At 45.8% G+C, this 20,170-nt stretch overlaps 1 protein-coding gene across 14 annotated transcripts in view, besides 1 other annotated feature; it reads left to right on the plus strand.

The window, feature by feature from the left end:
• Positions 1-15,284, plus strand: part of BTRC (beta-transducin repeat containing E3 ubiquitin protein ligase) — a 203,266-nt gene extending 187,982 nt beyond the window's left edge. For all 14 annotated transcript variants that reach the window (XM_047425986.1, XM_006718054.3, XM_017016870.2 and 11 more), the window contains 2 exons: positions 8,670-8,862; positions 11,126-15,284. In XM_047425986.1, coding sequence (XP_047281942.1) covers positions 8,670-8,831 — 162 coding nt within the window. In that variant the 3' untranslated portion in view covers positions 8,832-8,862; positions 11,126-15,284. The remainder of the gene's footprint in view (positions 1-8,669; positions 8,863-11,125) is intronic.
• Positions 19,172-19,672: an enhancer, noted in NCBI's record as "H3K4me1 hESC enhancer chr10:103320958-103321458 (GRCh37/hg19 assembly coordinates)". NCBI's record gives its function as "activates a minimal SCP1, AML or CMV promoter by ChIP-STARR-seq in primed H9 embryonic stem cells {active_cell/tissue: H9 hESC(primed)}" and the evidence as "EXISTENCE:reporter gene assay evidence [ECO:0000049][PMID:30033119]".

Below are 20,170 nucleotides of genomic sequence, written 5' to 3' on the forward strand. Positions count from 1 at the left end.
GTGAAGCATCTAGACCTGGAATTTTCTTTGTGGAAAGTTTTAATTACAACTTCAGTTTCTTTAATAAATACAGCACTCTTCAGATTTAATATTTCTTTTGAAGTCCACTTTAATACTTTTGTCTTCCAAGCAGTTTGGCCGTTTTATCTAAATTATGAAATTTATTGAAATAAAGTTATCATATTCCCTTATTATCCTTTTAATGCCTGTTAGGAGCATAGTCCTGTTTCCTTTTTTGGTTTCATTGATTTTTTTTTTTTATTTTTCTAGCTTCTTAAGGTAGAAACTAAGATCATTGACTTTGAACCTTTTTTTAAATATAATCAGTTGAAGCTATAAATGTTATTAGAAGTAATTCTAATCACTACTTTAGCCACATCCCAAAAAATGTCAATTAAGTCAAGTTGGTTTATAATATTCAGGTCTTCTGTATCCTTAGTGATTTTTCTATTCGTCCTTACCAATTATTGAGAGAGGAATTTTTATGTCTCCCACTATAGTTTTGAATTTGTCTATTTCTCCTTACAGTTGTGACAGCTTTTGCTTCGTGGTTTTTGTTTGAGACAGGGTATCACTATGCCGCCCAGGCTGGAATGCAGTGGCACACCCATGACTCACTGCAGCCTCAACCTCCCAGGCTCTGTCAATCCACCCACCTGAGCCTCCTGAGTAGCTGGGACCACAGGCGTGCGCCACCACGTCCAGCTAATTTTTTTGTATTTTTTTTTAGAGATGGGGTTTTGCCACATTGCCCAGGCTGGTCTGGAACTCCTGGGCTCAACCTCGACAAAGTACTGGGATCACAGGCATGAGCCATGGCACCTGGCCTGCTTCATGGTTTTTTTTGTTGTTGTCGTTGTTTTTGAGACGGAGTTTCTCTCTTGTCACCCAGGCTGGAGTGCAGTGGCACGATGTCGGCTCACTGCAACCTCTGCCTCCTGGGTTCAAGCCATTCTCCTGCCTCAGCCTCCCAAGTAGCTGGCATTACAGGCACCTGCCACCACACCTGGCTAATTTTTTGTATTTTCAGTAGAGACAGGATTTTGCCATGTTGGGCAGGCTGGTCTCGAACTCCTGACCTCAGGTGATCCACACACCTCGGCCTCCCAAAGTGTTGGGATTACAGGCGTGAGCCACCGCACCCAGCCACTTCTTGTATTTTTAAGCTCTATTATTGGGTACCTGCGTGCTTAGGATTTTTGTCTTAGTGATTAACTGACTTTTTAACATTATGAAATGTCCTTCTTTGATGTTTATAGTATTCTTTGTTTTGGGAAATTAATACTTTGATATTATATGTAAACATTCTGCTTTTTTATGATTAGTGTCTGTGTGGTGTATCTTACTATATTCTTTTACTTTTAATATGCCTGTGTCTTTATATTTAAAATGAATTTCTCATATTCAGCATATAGTTGGGCCATGTTTTTTTTTGTTTTTTTTTTTTCTTAATCCAGCCTGACCATCTCTGCCTTTGTCATGTTTAGACCATTTATGTAATTTTTGTATGTTTGGATTTAAATCTATCATGTTGCTATTTATTTTCCATTTTTTGCTTTTGTTTGTTACCTCCTGTTTTCATGCTCTTTTTTTTTTCTTTTTTATCTCAGTTTAGCTCCTATTATGGGTTCTTAGTTATATCTCACTAATTTGGTGAGGAGGGACCTAGGGTTTACAATAGTTATCTCTAATTTATTGCAGTCTACTATCAGATGATATTGTACCACTTCATGTATAATGTAGGAAACTTAAAACACTATATGTTCATTTTTCACCCCCATCCTTTATGCTATTGTTGCTACAGATTTTACTTCTAAATATGTTATCATCCCCACAGCACTTGTTATTTTTGCTTTAAACAATCAACCATCTTTTAAGATTTTTTTGTTTGTTTGTTTGAGACGGAGTCTTGCTCTGTCACCCAGGCTGGAGTGCACTGGCGTGATCTTGGCTCACTGCAACCTCCGCCTCCCAGGTTCAAGCAATTCTCCTGCCTCAGCCTCCAGAGTAGCTGGGACTACAGGCGCCCGCCACCACACCCAGCTAATTTTTTGTAGTTTTAATAGAGATGGGATTTCACCATGTTAGCCAAGATGGTCTCGATCTCCTGACCTCGTGATCCGCCCGCCTCAGGTTCCCAAAGTGCTGGGATTACAGGCATGAGCCACCGCAGCTGGCCTTTTAAAGAAATTTTTTAATGGAAAAAAGAGAGTTTATTTTTACCCACACGTTTACCTTTTCTATTGCCTCCCATTCCTTTGTATAAATTCTATTTCCATCTGATACATTTTCCTTTTGCTTAAAGAACTTACTTTAACATTTCATGTATGCAGGTACACTGGTGACAAATACTTTCACTTGTTGTTTACTTGGGAAAGTTTTTTTTTTTTTTTTTTAAGGGATGGGGTCTCATTCTATATCCCAGGCTGGAATGCAGTGGCATGATCATAGCTCACTGCAGCCTTGGACTTCTAGTCTCAAGCAGTCCTCCTGACAGCTTCCCACATAGCTGACTACAGGCTTGTGCCACCATATCTGGCTAATTTTCTTTATTTTTTTAGAGATAGGGTCTCATTGTGTTGCCCAGACTGGTCTTGAACTCCTGGCCTCACATAATCCTCTTGCCTCACAACCTCCTGAGTAGCTGAGATTATTACAGGTGCAAGCCACTGCGCCTGGCTCTGAAAAAGTTTTCGTTTTGCCTTCATTTTTGAAAGATATTTTTGCTGGCTAAATAATTCTATATAGGCCAGGCATGGTGTCTCACACCTGTAATCCCAGCACTTTGGGAGTCTGAGGCGGTGGATTGCTTGAACTCAGGAGTTCAAGACCAGCCTGGCAACATGGCAACCCCTTCTCTTCAAAAATACAAAGATTAGCTGGGCATGGTGGCACGTGCCCAGTGCAACAACTTTTGGGTGGCTGAGGTGTGAGGATCATATGAGTCCAGGAGATTGAGGCTGCAGTAAGCCACAGATATGCCACTGCACTCCAGCTTGGGTGAGAATGAGACCCTGTCTCAAAAAAAAAAAAAGAAAAAAAGCTAGATTGACAGTGTCTTTCAGCACTTTAATGATGTCATTCCATTTTCTTCTGGCTTGGTTTCTGACTAGAAGTTGGAAGTCACTCATCTCCATTCTGTATCTTTTTCCTCTGGGTGCTTTTAAGATTTTCTCTTTATCATTAGTTTTCAGCAATTTGCTTATGATGTGTCTTGGTGTGGTTTTGTTTGTATTTTTCCTACTTCACATTAAAAAAATAGAAATTGTCAGAGCAATTTGAAGAAGAAGGCTAAACTTATGTTGTCTACAAGAAAGCTACTTTAACTATAAAGACACATACACCTTAAAAGTAAATGGTTAGCGAAAGATATAACACATGTTATAGGCTGAATTGTGTTCCCCTAAAATTTATATGATGTCTTAACCACCAGTACCTCAGAATGTGACTGTATTTGGAGTTATAGGAGCTTTCAAGAGGTAAATAAGGTTAAATGAAGTCATTGGAGTAGGCCCTAATCCAATATGACTGGTGTCCTTAAAACAAGAGGAGATTGGGACACACAGAGACCATGTGAAGATAAAGGGAGAAGATGACCATCTACAAGTCAAAGGAAGAAGCATCAGAATGAAACCAACCCTGCCAACACTTTGATCTTAGAATTCTAGTCTCCAGACTGTAGGGAAATTAATTTCTATTTTTTGAGCCCCCTAGTGTATGCCATACTTTGTTATGGCACCCCTAGCCCTGATGGACCATTCTAACACTAGTCAGAAGAAAGTTGGGGTAGCTGTATTAATTAGAGAGAGAGCAAACCTCAGAGCAAAGAATATTATCAGGGATAAAGAGAAGTGTTGTATAAGGATAAAGGGGCCAGTTCTCCAAGAAGACCTAACAATCCTTAATGTGTACACACCTAACAACAGAGCATCAAAACATATGAGGCAAAAAACCATAGAACTGCAAGGAAAAAATAGATGCATCCACTGTTATAGTTGGAGACTTCAGCACCCCCTATCAGTAATGGACAGATCTGGCAGGCAGCCAATTCAGTAAGAACATAGTTGAATTTAGCAGTACCATCAATCAAGTGGATATAATTGACAACTATAGAATGCTTCATCCAACAGCAGCAGAATACACATTCTTCTCAAGCTCCCAAGGAAATTACACCAAGGCAGACCACAGTCAGGGCCATAAAAGGTACCTTAAAAAATTTACAAGAGTAGAAATCATACAGCATATGCTCTCAGATTACAGTGGTATTCACTAATGGAAAGATAGCTGAAAAATCCCAAAATATGTGGAGATTAAACAACACACCTCTAAATAACACGTAGGTCAAGAAGAAATTGCAAGATAAATTGAAATGTATTTTTTTTTAATTTTTACTTTTCATTTTTGTGGGTACATAGTAGGTTTATATATTTATGGGGAACATGTGATGTTTTGAAAAGTATTTTGAAGTAAATAAAAATGAAAACACAGCTATCAAAATTTGTGGGATGCAGTGAAAGCAGTGCTTAGAGGGAAATTTATAGCACTGAATGCATATCTTAGAAAAGGTCTAAAATCAATAGTCTAAGCTTCTACTAGAGCCAACTAAGAAAAGAGCAAATTAAATTCAAAGTAAGTAGAAGAAAAGAAATAACAAAAACTAGACCAGAAATCAGTGAAATTGAAAACAGGAAATCAATGGATTACATCAAGACCAAAAGCTAGTTCTTTGAAAGGATCAATAAAATGGATGAGTCTCTAGCCAGACTATGAAAAACAAAGAAGACATAATGTACTAATATCAGAAATGAAAGAGATCCCAGATCTTCACAGAATCAATACTTAATAATTATCTTTCCAAACAGAGAAACTAAGCCTAGGCAGATCCACTGGTGAATTCTACCAAACATTTGAAGAAGTTATATCAATTTTCTGTTATCTCTTCTATAAGATAAAAACAGAATGAATAACTTACTAACTCATCTATGAAGCATTACCCTAAAACCAAAACCAGACAAACACAATATAGGAAAAGAAAAATACAGACTAATAATGGCTAAGCTATGAAGTTCAATAGGTTAGGCAGATCAAATGCATTTTCAGCTTAGGATAGTTTCATTTACAACAGGTTCATCAGGATGTAACCCATTGTAATTTGAGGAGCATCTGTATTTTAAACTATTTGATTCATGCTTGAACCCGGGAGGCGGAGGTTGCAGTGAGCCAAGATCACACCATTTCTAGCCTGGGTGACAAGAACGAAACTCCATCTCAAAATAAATAAGTAAATATATGGTTTTTCTTTTTTTTTTTTTTTTTTTTTTTTTTGAGACGGAGTCTCACTCTTGTTACCCAGGCTGGAGTAGTGCAATGGCGCAATCTCGGCTCACTGCAACCTCCACCTCCTGGGTGCAAGCTATTCTCCTGTCACAGCCTCCTGAGTAGCTGGGATTACGGGTGCCTGCCACCACGCTCAGCTGATCTTTGTATTTTTAGTAGAGACTGGGTTTCTGCTTGTTGGCCAGGCTGGTCTCAAACTCCGGACCTCATGATCCACCTGCCTCAACCTCCCAAAGATCTGGGATTATAGGCGTGAGCCACTGCACCCGGCCATGTATGGTCTTATTATTGCCCTTATGTTTAGCAATTTCATGATTTCTAAAATATTTTAAAATGTAATAATGTGCCAATAAAATGTAGTAACTCTGAAATTTTTTAAAAAATCTCGACAAAATATTAGCAAATTAAATCCAACAATGTATGAAAAGAATTATACACTGTGACCAAGTGAGATTTATGCCAGGTATGCAAGGCTGGTTCAGCATTCAGAAATCAATCAGTGTAATCCATCACATCAGGGGGCTATAGAAGACAAATCACATGCTTATATCAATGGATGCAGTAAAAGCATTTGACAAAATCCAACACCCATTCATGATAAAAACTCTCAGCAAACAAGGGATAGAGAGGCTTTTCCTCAACTTCATAAAGAAAAATGCAAATTAAAATTATAGTAAAATACTACTACAAACCTACCAAAATAAATGTAAAAGATTGGTAATATCAATTTTTGGTGAAGATGTGGAGTAACAAACTCTGATAAACTGTTGGTGTGAGTATAAATTGGCATGACTTTTAAAAAATTGTTTCATAGTATCTTCTAAAGCCAAACATACACCTACCCCGTGGCCCAGCAAGTCTACTCCTAGTTGAAATGGGTGCATATATTCAGCAAAAGACACGTACATAAATGTTCCTAGCAGCTTTGTTTTATAATAGCCATAAACTATAATCAGCCCCTATGTCCACCAACAAGAGAATAGATGGATTGTAGTATATTCATACAGTGGAATATCAACCAGTAATAAAAAAGAATGAACTACTGTTTTACATGCAGCAACATAGAAGAATCTTATAATGTTGACTAAAAGAAGCCAGGCATGAGCTGGGCTCAGTGGCTCATGTCTGTAATCCCAGCACTTTGGGAGGCTGAGGCCGGCAGATTGCCTGAGCTCAGCAGTTGGAGACCAGCCTGGGCAACACGGTGGAATCCTGTCTTTACTAAAATACAAAAAATTAGCCAAGCATGGCGGGGGGCATCTGTAGTCCCAGCTACTTGGGAGGCTGAGGCAGGAGAATCGCTTGAACCTGGGAGGCGGAAGTTGCAGTGAGCCGAGATTGCACCACTGCACTCCAGCCTGAGCGACAGAGCAAGACTCCATCTCCAAAAAAGAAAAACCAGGCATGGCTGGGCACAGTAGCTAAGGCCTGTAATCCCAACACTTTGGGAGGCCGAGGTGGGCAGATCACGAGGTCAGGAGATCGAGACCATCCTGGCCAACATGGTGAAACCCCGTCTCTACTAAAAATACAAAAATTAGCTGGGTGTGGTGGCATGTGCCTGTAATCCCAGGTACTCAGGAGACTGAGGCAGGAGAATCGCTTGAACCCAGGAGGCGGAGGTTGCAGTGAGCCAAGATCGCGCCACTGCACTCCACCCTGGGCGACAGAGCGAGACTCTGTCTCAAAAAAAAAAAAGCCAGACACAAAAGAATACATACTATATGATTATATTTATATGAAATTCAGTAAGAGACTAAACAAATTAATAACAATAACAGCATTGGGCCAGGCACAGTGGCCCACACCTATAATCTCAGAGCTTTGGGAGGCCAAGGCAGAAGGACTGCTTGGTCTTGAGTTCAAGACCAGCCTGGGCAACAAAAAGACCTAATCTCTACAAAAAAAAAAAAAAAAAGCCAGGTGTGGTGGCATGAGTCTATAGTCCTCACTACTTGGGAGGCTTAAGCAGGAAAATCACTTGAGCCCAGGAGTTTGAGGTTACAGTGAGCTATGATCACACTACCGCATTCTAGCCTAGGTGACAAAACAAGACTCTGTCTCTAAAAAAAATGATGATGATGACACCTGTAATCCCAGCACTTTGGGAGGCCGAGGCGGGTGGATCACGAGGTCAGGAGATCAAGACCATCCTGGCTAACACGATGAAACCCCGTCTCTACTAAAAATACAAAAAATTAGCCAGGTGTGGTGGCAGGCGCCTGTAGTCCCAGCTACTCGGGAGGCTGAGGCAGGAGAACGGCGTGAACCCGGGAGGCAGAGCTTGCGGTGAGCTGAGATGGCACCACTGCACTCCAGCAGGGGCGAAAGAGCGAGACTCTGTCTCAAAAAAAAAAAAAAAAAAAAAAAGATGATGATGATAAAATTGGAGTGGAGGTAACATTGTTTAGTAAGGGGTGTGAGATTGTTTTCCAGTATGCTGGGAACATTCTACATCTTCATCAGGGTGGTAACTGCCAGTGGTGTGCTAGAACAGGCTCATACTCACTTATGAGAGCCAACTATTAGATATTCATGAATTTTGCCAGCTGGTTGACTATGACTAGCTTATAATTGGCCATGATAGGAGTTTTTAATGCCGTGGAAATCTACCGATGGTTTTACAAAGTAGCAAAGTTTGGTTGATAAACATTTATCAGCATACTGCTTCTTATTGCTCACCAATCCTTGACCTCTGATTGTAGAAGGAACTTAGAAGATAAAAACCAGGGAGGTAGTAAGGAATGCTCTCATCCACCCTACGCCAAAAAGGGTTGGCCATGAGAAACTATTAATAGCATGCTATTTAGCATGTCTTGGCCAAAGAGTATTGCTTTGTTTACAGCTGCCTAGTATTTGACTTTTCCATGCTGCCTTTAGCCAAAGTAAATTTTCTCTATTTTTTTAATTTATTTATTTTTATTTTATTTTTTTTTTAGACAGAGTCTCACTCTGTTGCCCAGGCTGGAGTGCAGTGGAGTGATCTCGGCTCACTGCAACCTCCACCTCCCAGGTTCAAGCAATTCTTCTGCCTCAGCCTCCCAAGTAGCTGGGACTATAGGCACATGCCACCAGCCCGGCTAACTTTTTGTATTTTTATAGAGATGGGGTTTCACTGTGTTAGCCAGGATGGTCTCGATCTCCTGACCTCGTGATCCGCATGCCTCAGGCTCCCAAAGTGCTGGGATTACAGGTGTGAGCCACTGCGCCTGGCCTCTTTATAACAGCAAACCATAGCCTTTCCGTAGACTCCTTTTGACATGTTGCTGAATTTGTGTCCTATTGATTTTGAGTAGTTCAAGTTCCTACCCTTTTTGTTTCTACTTCTTTAGGAGCATTCCGGAAGAGTTTTTCGACTACAGTTTGATGAATTCCAGATTGTCAGTAGTTCACATGATGACACAATCCTCATCTGGGACTTCCTAAATGATCCAGCTGCCCAAGCTGAACCCCCCCGTTCCCCTTCTCGAACATACACCTACATCTCCAGATAAATAACCATACACTGACCTCATACTTGCCCAGGTATCGAAATCGATTATGTACATAACACTGTGGGTAGGAGACGGGATATTAGCTGTAAGGTGTTGCTAGTTCATGGAACTTTCTCCTGCCGTTTGGGTCACCAACTCCTGTAAAGCCGAGGAAGCAGACAATGTGAGACAGGGCTGAAGCTGCCACAGTGTGGACAGTGCCTTTCACCAAGGTAGCCAGCCTCAGTTCTAGATGATTCTAGGGTCCTACTTGTGTGGTAAGCCTAGTCATTCCTGCCCTAGTTATCTAGTAGTACTGTTATGAAAATAAAATGAGATTTGAATCAGTTTGAAAACTAAGTACTGTAATGACCCAAAGGCCTGTGATGTTTAAGTTCCCAGATCAAACAATACCTACAATAGAGACCTTTCAAGCCAAGTAAACAGTCTGATGTCTAATGTGTGAATGGAAACATCTCTTGGTGAAAGTTCACACTGACATATAAATAAAAGGGCAGATTTTAAAAGGAATATAAAAAGTAGCTTTTATATCCCTATCCCTATTCCTCAACCCTCCAAAAAGAGGACCTGTCTTTTGACCTCTGACCTCCACATGTCCTCCCACTCAAGTCTCCAACCTCTCTCTCAGGCAGGGGAAGATCCTAAAATACCCAGGTGGTCCATACATATTGTGGTATATTCAGATCATACCTGCTGTTCTAACCAGTTCGAATACACTAGGTTGTTACCAGTTTGAGAAGGCTGCCCTAGCTGCTGAGGAGCGTTGCTGTCAGGATTTGCCACGTGTGCCTCAGTTCTCGTGGCGGAAGTACATGTTCGCTACACGTTTCTGCATCTCTCTTTGCAGTGTTCCGCTGAGGACAGTGATTCACGCCCAGCTGGGCTGTCCTCAGCTTCTCTTTCTCTCACAGAGGACACGGTTCGTCGTTCCTCAGCCAGGTCGCACAGGCTGTGTGCCCTTAGACAAGTAACTTCCCAGACCCTGAATCTCTTGATGAGTAACGTGAGGGGCAGCACTCACCTCACGGAACCCTGTGAAGGCTGTGTGGAGATACTGCATGGAAAATTCCTAGTGCTTAGCACAGTGGCGAATACATAATATGCCCTCAGGAAAAACTGGTCATGAGTATTAATATTGCAATCTCCATATACCTACCCCCTCCTTTGCCCAAAATTTTCTCTTCCTTAGACTTCCGTGTTACTTTGCCATTTTTAATATTCTTCCTGACTCTCTGATTATTTGTGCTTCTTTCCCCCTCACTCCCAAGAGTCTGTTTCTGGCTTTTCTTATTATTTTTATTTTATTTTATTTTATTTCATTTTATTTTATTTTATTTTATTTCTTGAAACAGGGCTTCACTCCTGTCACCCAAGCTGGAGTGCAGTGGCACAATGTCAGCTCATTGCAACCTCCACCTCCTGGGCTCAAGTGATTCTCCTGCCTCAGCCTCCTGAGTACCGCGGGCACACAACACCATGACCAGCTAATTGTTTGTATTTTTTTTTTTTTTTTGGAGAGATGGAGTTTCACCATGTTGCCCAGGCTGGTCTCGAACTCCTGAGCTCAAGTGATCCACCTCCCTTGGCCTCCCAAAGTTACTGGGATTACAGGTGTGAGCCACCGCACCCGGCCTGTCTCTGGCTTTTCTTCCTTATCTGAGTTCCTTCTTAGGCTGCCTTCTCTATTCCCAAGGCTTCAGATCTCATCTCATTGTAGAAGACTCAAATTTCTGTCTCCAGTCCAAGCCTCTGCCTTAATCTCCAGGCCACATTTCCAGCTGCCATCCACACAGCTGTCCTTGAAGATAGCAAGAGCACTTCTAGTGCTCACATCCTCAACTGCACTGTCCCCTCCTTTACACTGCTGGTACCCTGCAGCCACACAGCCAGGCCAGCTTTCCTTGATTCCCCCACTTCTGTTACTGGCACCGCCATGCTCATGGCCACTCAAAAGGCAGGGCCCACAGACCATCCCCCACCCCTGCCCTGCCATTCTACAGGGCAAGTGAAAGCTATGCCAACCGTGGGCACTCTCAGCCTCAAGACATCAGAGTCACTCTGCTTGAACACCACAGCCCTGAGCATGTCAGCAAGCCCTGCCTTTAGTATAACTTCCCCCATCAGGCCAGGTCACCTTTGACAGAAGCTCCTGCATGGCATAGGCAGAGAGCAGGCATTAGGAAGGACCCCTAAGCCTTTTCCCCATTGGCAGCTAAGTGAATGTTCTTTTGTCTTCAAGCAAGTAAGAAATATCAAAAAAGGGGCTAATGACTATTTGCTCTGTTTTCACACAGGACCCATTAAAGTTGCGGTATTTAACGTATCTGCCAATACCAGGATGAGCAACAACAGTAACAATCAAACTACTGCCCAGTTTCCCTGGACTAGCCGAGGAGCAGGGCTTTGAGACTCCTGTTGGGACACAGTTGGTCTGCAGTCGGCCCAGGACGGTCTACTCAGCACAACTGACTGCTTCAGTGCTGCTATCAGAAGATGTCTTCTATCTTTTGTGAATGATTGGAACTTTTAAACCTCCCCTCCTCTCCTCCTTTCACCTCTGCACCTAGTTTTTTCCCATTGGTTCCAGACAAAGGTGACTTATAAATATATTTAGTGTTTTGCCAGAATCTCTCTTGCTTTGCCATTAAGCAGAAGAACTAGTTTCCCTGTATAGCCTGCTGGGAGAGACCCACTTCTAGGGTATGGGGGATGCAGCTTCAAGCCCAGTGCCCAGTGTCTCCCTGTTAACTGCAGGAATGCCAAGCACCTGGCCAGAGCAGCCCAGCCCCAATATGCTTAGGAGGAGACAGAGTTCCCTCTGTATAGCCTCTGGGACAAGAAAAAGAAAACACAAGAATGTATACACTGGAAGATTTGGGCCTCCTGCCTGCCTTCTCTTTGTTTCTGTTCCTCTTCCCATCTACTCCCCTACGCCCCTTCAACCTTTTTTCTCTGTCTGCTTCACCTGAGAAGAAAGTGTACGAAGAGAGTGTCCTCCTCTCACATGAGCCAGATCAGCCAGAAAATGCAACACTTGGAAGAGTTAAATGCTGTTCAGTGAAGATTTCAGCCCCAGGCCTTTGCTGCAAGTGACCCTGTGGCAACAGTGGATTCTCAGACATGATACTCTCATCATATTTGCAACTCTTCTCTCTCTTTCTTCCCCACACCCAAGAGGAGGATTGGTGGTAGGGGGCAGGCAGAGGGGGTGGGGAGAAGTTTCCTGGGCTCCATCAATGGCTGCATCTTTTCTGGACTCAGCAGTCTCCTTGATTCCATGTAGAGTGTGGAAAGGAGTTGCTGATTGCATTTCCTCTCATTAACAATTGGGTGTGTAATAAAAAGCATTGTACTTCATCTTAAATCACTGGTAAGGCTCAGCCTACAGAAAGATTTGAAATGGCCAGAGCCAATCGCTTGGTGCATTCTGCGTAATGGTTTCCATCTCCGATTTCCTCATCAGGGCCTGTGAATACCCAGGTGCCTGTATCTTTGCCAAGACCGTGATCAAGGTAGCTTAAGAGAGATGGTCAGGAGAAAACACTGTTTTTGTTTTTTTTGTTGTTTTGTTTTGTTTTGGCCAGTTAAATATCATCTCTCAAATATTGATCTCACCGTGTCAACCTTGCACTGCACAACCTTCCTTCTGCTTCTCCCACACCCAGTATTTGCAGAAGGGCAAAGCTGCTTAAGAGAGAGGATCAGGGTGAAGTTTGGCACACAGGGTTTATTAATGGGGCAAAAACTGCCTTTTCTTCCTCCTCCTGACCTTATTTTGCTCTTCACTCTCCCCAGCCAATAAAGCGTCTGTGGCGATTGGTGAACAGCATAAACAGCTGGACCTCAGCAAGGGTCAGGCAAACCCAGTCACTCGGAAGGCAGCTGTGTGAGCTGCCAAGCTAGTGGGCTTCAGGTGCAAGGGTACCTGTGCCACACCAACCTGGGAGCACACAGAATACTATTAATGTGCACCCAGCTGGTCTCCCCAGGCAAGAAGGTATCCTCTTCCCAAGGTGTACCCACTGAATGTTGTTACTACATATTGAGAGTCATTTTATGCATATGCATTCTACCTTTCCTGCTTTATGAGTATTTTTAAGCTTTTAGTTCAAGGTTATATTCAGAAAATATTTCCCAGTATAATGATACATCGTAGCCTAAGAAATATTTTCTCAATGTAATTCCCTTCCCAGCTACCCAAATGCTACAGAGAAATGTTTTCTACTTGGCCACTATCAGGGTTCGTCATCTATTGTGTTGACTATTAATGGCTTTTTGATTGGGTAAGGATTTTGCTATAGATGAAGGTAGAGGGCTGTCAGCCCTGAAAAACACACAGGTCAGACATTTAAAAGGCATGGGTTTCGAGCTGTCTCAAAATATTGCCCAATAGCCATAATTTTACCAGCCTTTCTGTCATATGCTGCTATTACAAAGTGGAAGCTGTTGAATGTTTATTGGTGCCCAGGGTTTTGCTCTCCAATCTAGGTTCAGTTGAAGGAATATTGTTTCTAAGACTGTTTTGAGACATGTCCAGTACATCACAAAGGAGATCGGGGCGACCCCTGCAGATGTGGAGCCATTAGCCCAGTTGAGGATATTCTCCAAGTTGTCCTCTCTCCTGCTGATGGAAATGGGAATGAAGTTAAGTGGTCTGAAAAACTTGAATCGTTCACATTTCTCAGCTCTGGGGGTCATTTACCAGTTTGTTGTAGAAGAAATAATCAGGTAAGTTAAAAGTTCATTTCCAGAGAAGGTAAACCCCACTTACCATCTCTGCATGATTTCAGTGGGAATTGATTATCACTAATCCCCAACTGGGCTAGAATAAATGTAAAGTTTGACCTTTTTAAAACGAAAAGAGAGACAAAGTCTCAGCACATTCCAAGGAGTGGTAGAAACAGAGCTGAAGGTGTCCCCATTGTAGATTAGTCTCTTCTCACTAAAATTTACTTTCCAACGTAGGGCCTAAAGGAAACCTTTCTTAAAGACAGGCTGAAACCCCTTCAAAGGCAGATGAGGAGGTACAGACACGTGACCTTTTGGTGCACACTGGAGCTACTTGGACAAGACCAGCATGCCTTGCTGCACGTGTGTGTATTTCACTGCTGAGAACATCCTTTAACTTGGTGTGCAATTTGAAAGGATGTGAATCATGGATGGAAGGCCATTTGTACATGTCCCTTGGCAAAATTCTTTCTGGTGTCTCCTAACTTCAGAGACAGGGACTCTTTTTGGATCTCTATTGACAAGTAATAAAAGTCTGGCCCTCATAACTTGTTTCCGAACTAGAAAAGTCTGTGAGACCCCTACATCATTCTGGTTTTTTTGCTTGAGTAAGAACAATCCTTTTTTATTTTTCTTCTGTACAGTCTAAAGCTACAGAGAAAAAAAAATGCACTCTTCCCTTGCCGGCTCCTGGTACCATTGGTCTGAACAGCTGTAGTTGGTCTACTCCTTACTTAGCACTTGATTGTGTGGGGAAACAAAGGTGGGAGGGGTGGGGAATACTGGAAATAATCAGGGCAATTTTTTTCTTTCCCATAATTGGACTAGATACCTTGGTACTGTTGACCTTCTCAGCATCTCCCTTTTGCCTTAGATGGCAACACCCTCCAGTCTGTAGCAGAGCAGTCCAACCCAGATTAGTGCAGCCCGGAGGCTTAGGGTGCAGCCTCCCTGGTCTTCCTCCACACAGTTGTTCACCAACAGACCAGACCTCCTTTAACCACAGTGTCAACATAGTATCGGAAAGAGAGCCATTTCTTAGGGGAATAAAACAGTTTCGCTTCTTTAGCTCATCTGTGGTGTCAGAATCCTTGGAGCTGAAGAGAGAAATCAAAAGAGCATGATGATGGCTGCCTGGTTTCAGGTGGAACTTAATGCATTGATCTTTAGAAGCTCCTTCTGTTGGAAGTTGAGTACCTGTGATCTAAAATGTCCTGGAGGCAGATGACATCTAAAATATGTGCTTTCCAACCAGCACAGCTGGCGCTCTTAGCTCCTGATTGGTTGTGTGTTTTATTAAGGATCAGTGCAGTTAAGTCGTATTTTAAAGTGTTACCTCCCCTCCTAACCCTTCCCCTTCTTGGACACTGAAGGAAAAGGCCAACTAGGGTGTTAGCCCTCTGGGCACCAAGGAAACTAACAGCTTTCTCAAAGCGGTGACCACTCAGGCCAGCCCAGACAAATCTGAGGGATGGCCAGTGCACTCCAATGATGGGACAGGCCTAACAACACATGTAAGCTTCCCCGAGAGCTTTCAGCTGGTTCACCTCTTTGTTCTCTAGACTCTTAAGTACTGACTGCTTTGACTTTTGTGATTATGTTATGGTGATGTGTAGTCAGTGTACCAATATGTTCACAACCTAGGATCATGATAATGGAGTGTGTTTTGGGTTTTTTTTAACTGTTCAGAAAAAAAGTAAATTACAAATATAAGATTAAAGTGAATTTTCTAAGCGTCTTGTCTCCTTGCCCCAGCATCCAGAAGGGCAGTACACTTTTCAGTATACAGACTGAGGGAGTGCAGAGATAGAATACCTTTGCAGATAATCTGACATGAGAAAACAAGATTGAGAGAAAGCAGGGCTGGATGCTGTGGATGAGTGTGGGGTCCCTGGCTTACGCCTACTGTTCCATGTTGAGTTAAATTGAAGCCAAAGTCATGTCTCATTTGTGCATTGGTCACCTTAGCCAACCACAGCCCAACCTGAATGCAGAATTTACATTTTTCTCTGCCCCTCAGCTGTGAAAAGACTTGAGTTTCCCCTACATCCCATTTGATCAGTTTATAGGCAAGCAAGCTCACATCTGGGAGCAATTTCCAGAGGGGCTCCAACAAGCTGTAAGAATGAAGGCACCCTTGACTATCTGGGATATGACATTGCAGTTCTTGAGTGAAACCCCCCTTCCCTCCTTCAGCCAAACCTGGAGAGGTACAAGGTTGCAGGCAGTGGCCGAATGGGACTATCTCTCCCCGTTGGCCCTGTACCCCTCCCCTCTCTAGTGTCACAAACAGGATCCTTGTCAAAATTGACCCATCCTTCTTTTAGATCTATGGGCTTTTTGTATTAATAACCCTTCCACATGACCAAGGCTCTCTGGCTTCCATCAGCCTTGTAGTCTCATTGTCTTGTCTGGACTGACCACTGGCCATGAGCAATCTCAGACTGTGGTCAATATCAGGGCCGCTGTGCAGAACCCTCCCTACTAGAGCTGGAAGAATGTCAGAGCATCAGGTCCACCCAACCCTTGGCAGATGAGGAAACTGAGGAGAAAGAAAAGGGACCCACATTGCCCAAAACTACACTGAAGAATCCTCCCTAACAACTAAGGGCAGGCAGCACCCAAGAGAGAGAAGGAAGGGAGGGAGGTGTCAGAGGAACCACTGTGGGGCCACTGGTATCTGCTCAGTTAATATTCCTCACCAGCTGGGCTCCTGAGCAGAGGCTGAGCCTAAGAGTTTGTGGACCTCACCCTCAAACTGTGTCAGATCTCTTCCCCAGGAAGGGTGTGGTCTAGGGCCTGCCCTGGCAAGTCTCAACCCTATAGCCGTGGTTTCCTACTCCCAGGCTGGGCCAGGAATCCCTCCCTGCTTTAAACCTATAGCTGTGCCACCATCAGCAATGACTAAGGGGAGGAGATCTCTCTTCTTCCTGATTGGCTCTTGCCAATTAAGAGCACTTTATTAGGCTGCTAATTAAAGGCACTTCGTTAGCAGCAGGAGAGGCCAAGTGGGTGCCTGGTGAGACGGAGGTGAAGCCTGGAGAAATTGTTTTCGTCCCCCCATGGAAGCAGAGCCTCTCAGGGAAGCTCTCAGTCCCCACCCTCTCCTGCTGCGCCTACAACACCCCTTGCTTTCAATTAGCAACTCTGAGGGGAGCAAGGTGATTACCAAACCCAAGCTGGAACCCCCCACCACCACCAGCACCACCTCAGGCTGCATGCGGTCCTCAGGGGCTGGCCAGACCCCCAGGCACCTCATGAACCCGGGCCCAGGGAAGGAGAGGCTGGGCAGCCCAATGGGGAGTGTGCTCTCCCCACTAAGGAATGGGGCATGACTCCCCAAGCAGCTCAGGTGAATGTCACCTGGTCCTCATCATTGGGGCCATCCCTAGCAGTCACTGGATAACCAGTCACTTGTTCACATAGTGTGAATCCTCATGCTCCTTTCCTCAACAAACACTCATGATTTCATGGAGGAAATGTGCCCTTCCCACCCGTGAGGGACAGTCCCTGGTCGTTTAACAAGAGCACAGCCCACGTAGACCCTGAATGGGTCCTGGAGGAGAGGGGGCTGACAGTTTTACAATCCCGGCCATGCAGACCCTTGAGCGACTCCTGTCCCTGAGCTCATGTCGAATGTGAGGCGCTTCCCCTGGACGGTCCGAATGAGCCCCCTGCAAGAGAGGAGAGCCTGGCTATGACCTAGCACGTGGGGGTTGGCATGCAGGGACACCCCCTCTCCAGAGCCCTGCCTGTCCCATCTTGTGCCCACCTCACCCCTCAGTTAACTGCAGAATTAGCACCGGCCGTGAGGGCAGATTTATGACTAGGCCTGCCTCCCTCCACTTAACCCGAGGCCGGCCCGGGCTCCAGACACTAAATTAGATTTTTGACAATTAGAGAGACTAATGGGCACATAGCCATCCCCAGAGCCAGATATCCAGATCCAGCAAGGCCATTCTTTAATATCCACCACCAGCCAGCCCAACCCTCCCCTGGCCACCCCCTTCTCCCTCCCGTGGGTGGGCATTTCTCTCTCCCCAGCCCCTGTCTCTCTCTGCCCGGGCTCTACATGCACTCACGAGCTGTCTCTGGTTCCCCTTCCCTGTCTCACCTACTCTTGCCTTCCAGCCCCTTGCCCAGTACCAGCCTGGCTCTAGAACGCTGTCCGTCTCCTTGCCTTCAGCCTCCTTTTTGTACTTTGAACACTTCCATCTTAAGCCGCCCTTTCCCCAGGGCCCATCTATCTGTAATCTTCCATCTGCCCTGAGGAGATTGCAAGCCCCTTGAGGGCAGGGGCTTAGGCTCTCTCTGGATCCTAAATGCTCCGCACCCAGTCAGTGTTTACTGTTTGTTGTTTCCTGAGACTCCAACTCCTTCCTCCCCCTTCCTCTGAGCTGCTGGGTCTACAAGGCCTGCCCACCTTGCCCTCTTGGTCCCAGGCCCACCCTGGCTCTGGCCTGGCTCTGCTTGGATTGGGTGGCTCCCCCTTCCCTGCAGCCCCACAGCTCTGGCCAGTCTTGAGTTGGCCGGGTAATGAGATTGCAGTAAGTAGTTGGGGGAGCTGCTCACATTCACTCAGGCGGACTCATAGCTCTGTCAGGCTGATTGGTCCTGAGTGGAGGCACAAACGGCCCCCCATGGACACACTGCGATTGGTTATAAAATTACAAGCATTTGTCCTGCTGTCAGGGGCCTTCCTCCCGCCCCTCTGCCTGCCTGCCTGGGCTCCCACCATTCCCCACCCATCCCTTTCCCCAGTGGGGTTGGCCCACACACCCCAAAGGACCTGGCCAGGGGCCACCACAGCAGGTAGGGCTAAGAGGCTGAGGCCACCAAGCTCCCAAGGGGCAGGTTTTCATGTCTTGGCCCTGGAGTGGTTCACAGTGCAGGCTGGCCTCAGAGTGACCTGACCCTGTGCTCAGTGTTTCCTGTCCCCTGAGGGTAAGTGGGGGTGGGGGCCCCAGGGCAAACAGGCCTTGGAATCCTCAGGGGAGGAAGAGGTGTCCCAAGCCCCAGGCCTCCCAAGGACAACCAATGCCTGCAACTTCAGATGTGGTCCCAGGCTGGAGCTGTGGAGCAAGGGGTGGCTGAAGGCCTGCCCTGCTGAAGGGGAGAGCAGCAGAAGCCAGGTCGGCCACAGGAGCCCATCTCTCCTCCCTCCAGGTGGCCAGACCCTTGCCCTGTATCCTGACCCCCAGCTAAGGACAAATCAGCCTTCAGGAGAGTCTCTGAAGCCTAGACCAGAACAAAAAGCCAGTATGGCACACCAGAGCCTTGCTGTGGTTACTGGTCCACAGGCTGAGTCCTCTAGGTCTGGCTCTTAGACACCCCCACCCAGGCCTTGGCAAGGGCCCAGTTACCCCCACGCATGAGTGCCTTGAAATCCCACCTAGTGCTCTCTTATGCTCACACAGAAACACCCACTTCTTCCTGGCTGAGACCCAGGCATCAGCCCAGGCCCTCTCACCCCAGCTGCACAGCCTCCTTCCCACTCATTTCTCCAGCCAGGCCCCAGACCCCAGCCCCTGACCAGCCCCCAGCTCCAACCTCAGTCCTTCCTCTCTGGAGGCACCAGGGCACCCTATAATCTGCTTGGAGGGATGCTGAGGGAAGGGTTCCCCAGCTTGGAGAGGGGAGCGTTAGGGGAGCAGCGTCTCCTGGCTGTGGGCCACAAGGTGCCTTCCTGCCATCCGTCACTCATTCGCAGCCCAGAATGTATTTGCTGTAATTACATCTTTAATTAGGGTGGTGACGGCTCATTGTTCACCAACAATGATGAATGGGTCCTCCTGGTTGCCATCCTCCCTGTCCAGCACCCTCCAGGTCAGCTCTCCCCCAGCTTTGGGGCTGGGAAGGATACATGAGCACAGGCTCTTCTCCCATCGAGTCCCAGGCCCTGAGGCCTAGAAGCAGCCGTGAGCTCTCCCCCAAGGGTGATGATGTTCTTCTGGGCCTCCGGGGGCTCCCAAGGGACTCGACAGATCCTGATACCTTCACCCAGGGCTCCCTGCAGCAAGGCTGCAGATCTCACAGCCACCAGATGTCTCCTTGGTCCAAACTGGCCAGGCCGGGGGGGTAGCCTGACATTGCCTCACTCCCACCCACCACACACATGCCACATCACCACGCCCAGACTCGTCCCTGGGCCACACGCTCCTCATCACAGGAGCTGACAGGTGCAGAAAGAAAGGCTTGCAGTTCACAAGCTGGAGGGTGAGTGGGCAGCCTTAACTCCAAGCTCCCCTGTGAATGAAATGGGGTCTCTGACCAAGGCGAGGCCTCCCTTCCCCCACATGCCTATGCGCACCCAGGCCATGTGCCCAGGCCCAAAGCTGCAGGTGGTGGATGTTTGGTGACTCCATGAGCAAATGGATCCATCAGTGAGAGGAAATCCATGCACCTGTTTGGAGATCATGGGCTGGTTGGGGCCTATGGTAAGCAGAGGGGCCGGGACAGGCCATGGAGGCCCAGGAGGCTTGTGGAGGTGAGAACCCTAATCTGGGTTAAAGCCCCAAGTGGCATGCTCCTGGCTGTATGACCTGGGTGTGTCCCCTAACCTCTAAGTGTTCCCTCATTTATAAGAGGGGGATGAGAACAGAACTCCCCCA

Source organism: Homo sapiens, chromosome 10 (assembly GCF_000001405.40).
Source record: "Homo sapiens chromosome 10, GRCh38.p14 Primary Assembly".
NCBI classification, from domain to species: Eukaryota; Metazoa; Chordata; class Mammalia; order Primates; family Hominidae; genus Homo; species Homo sapiens.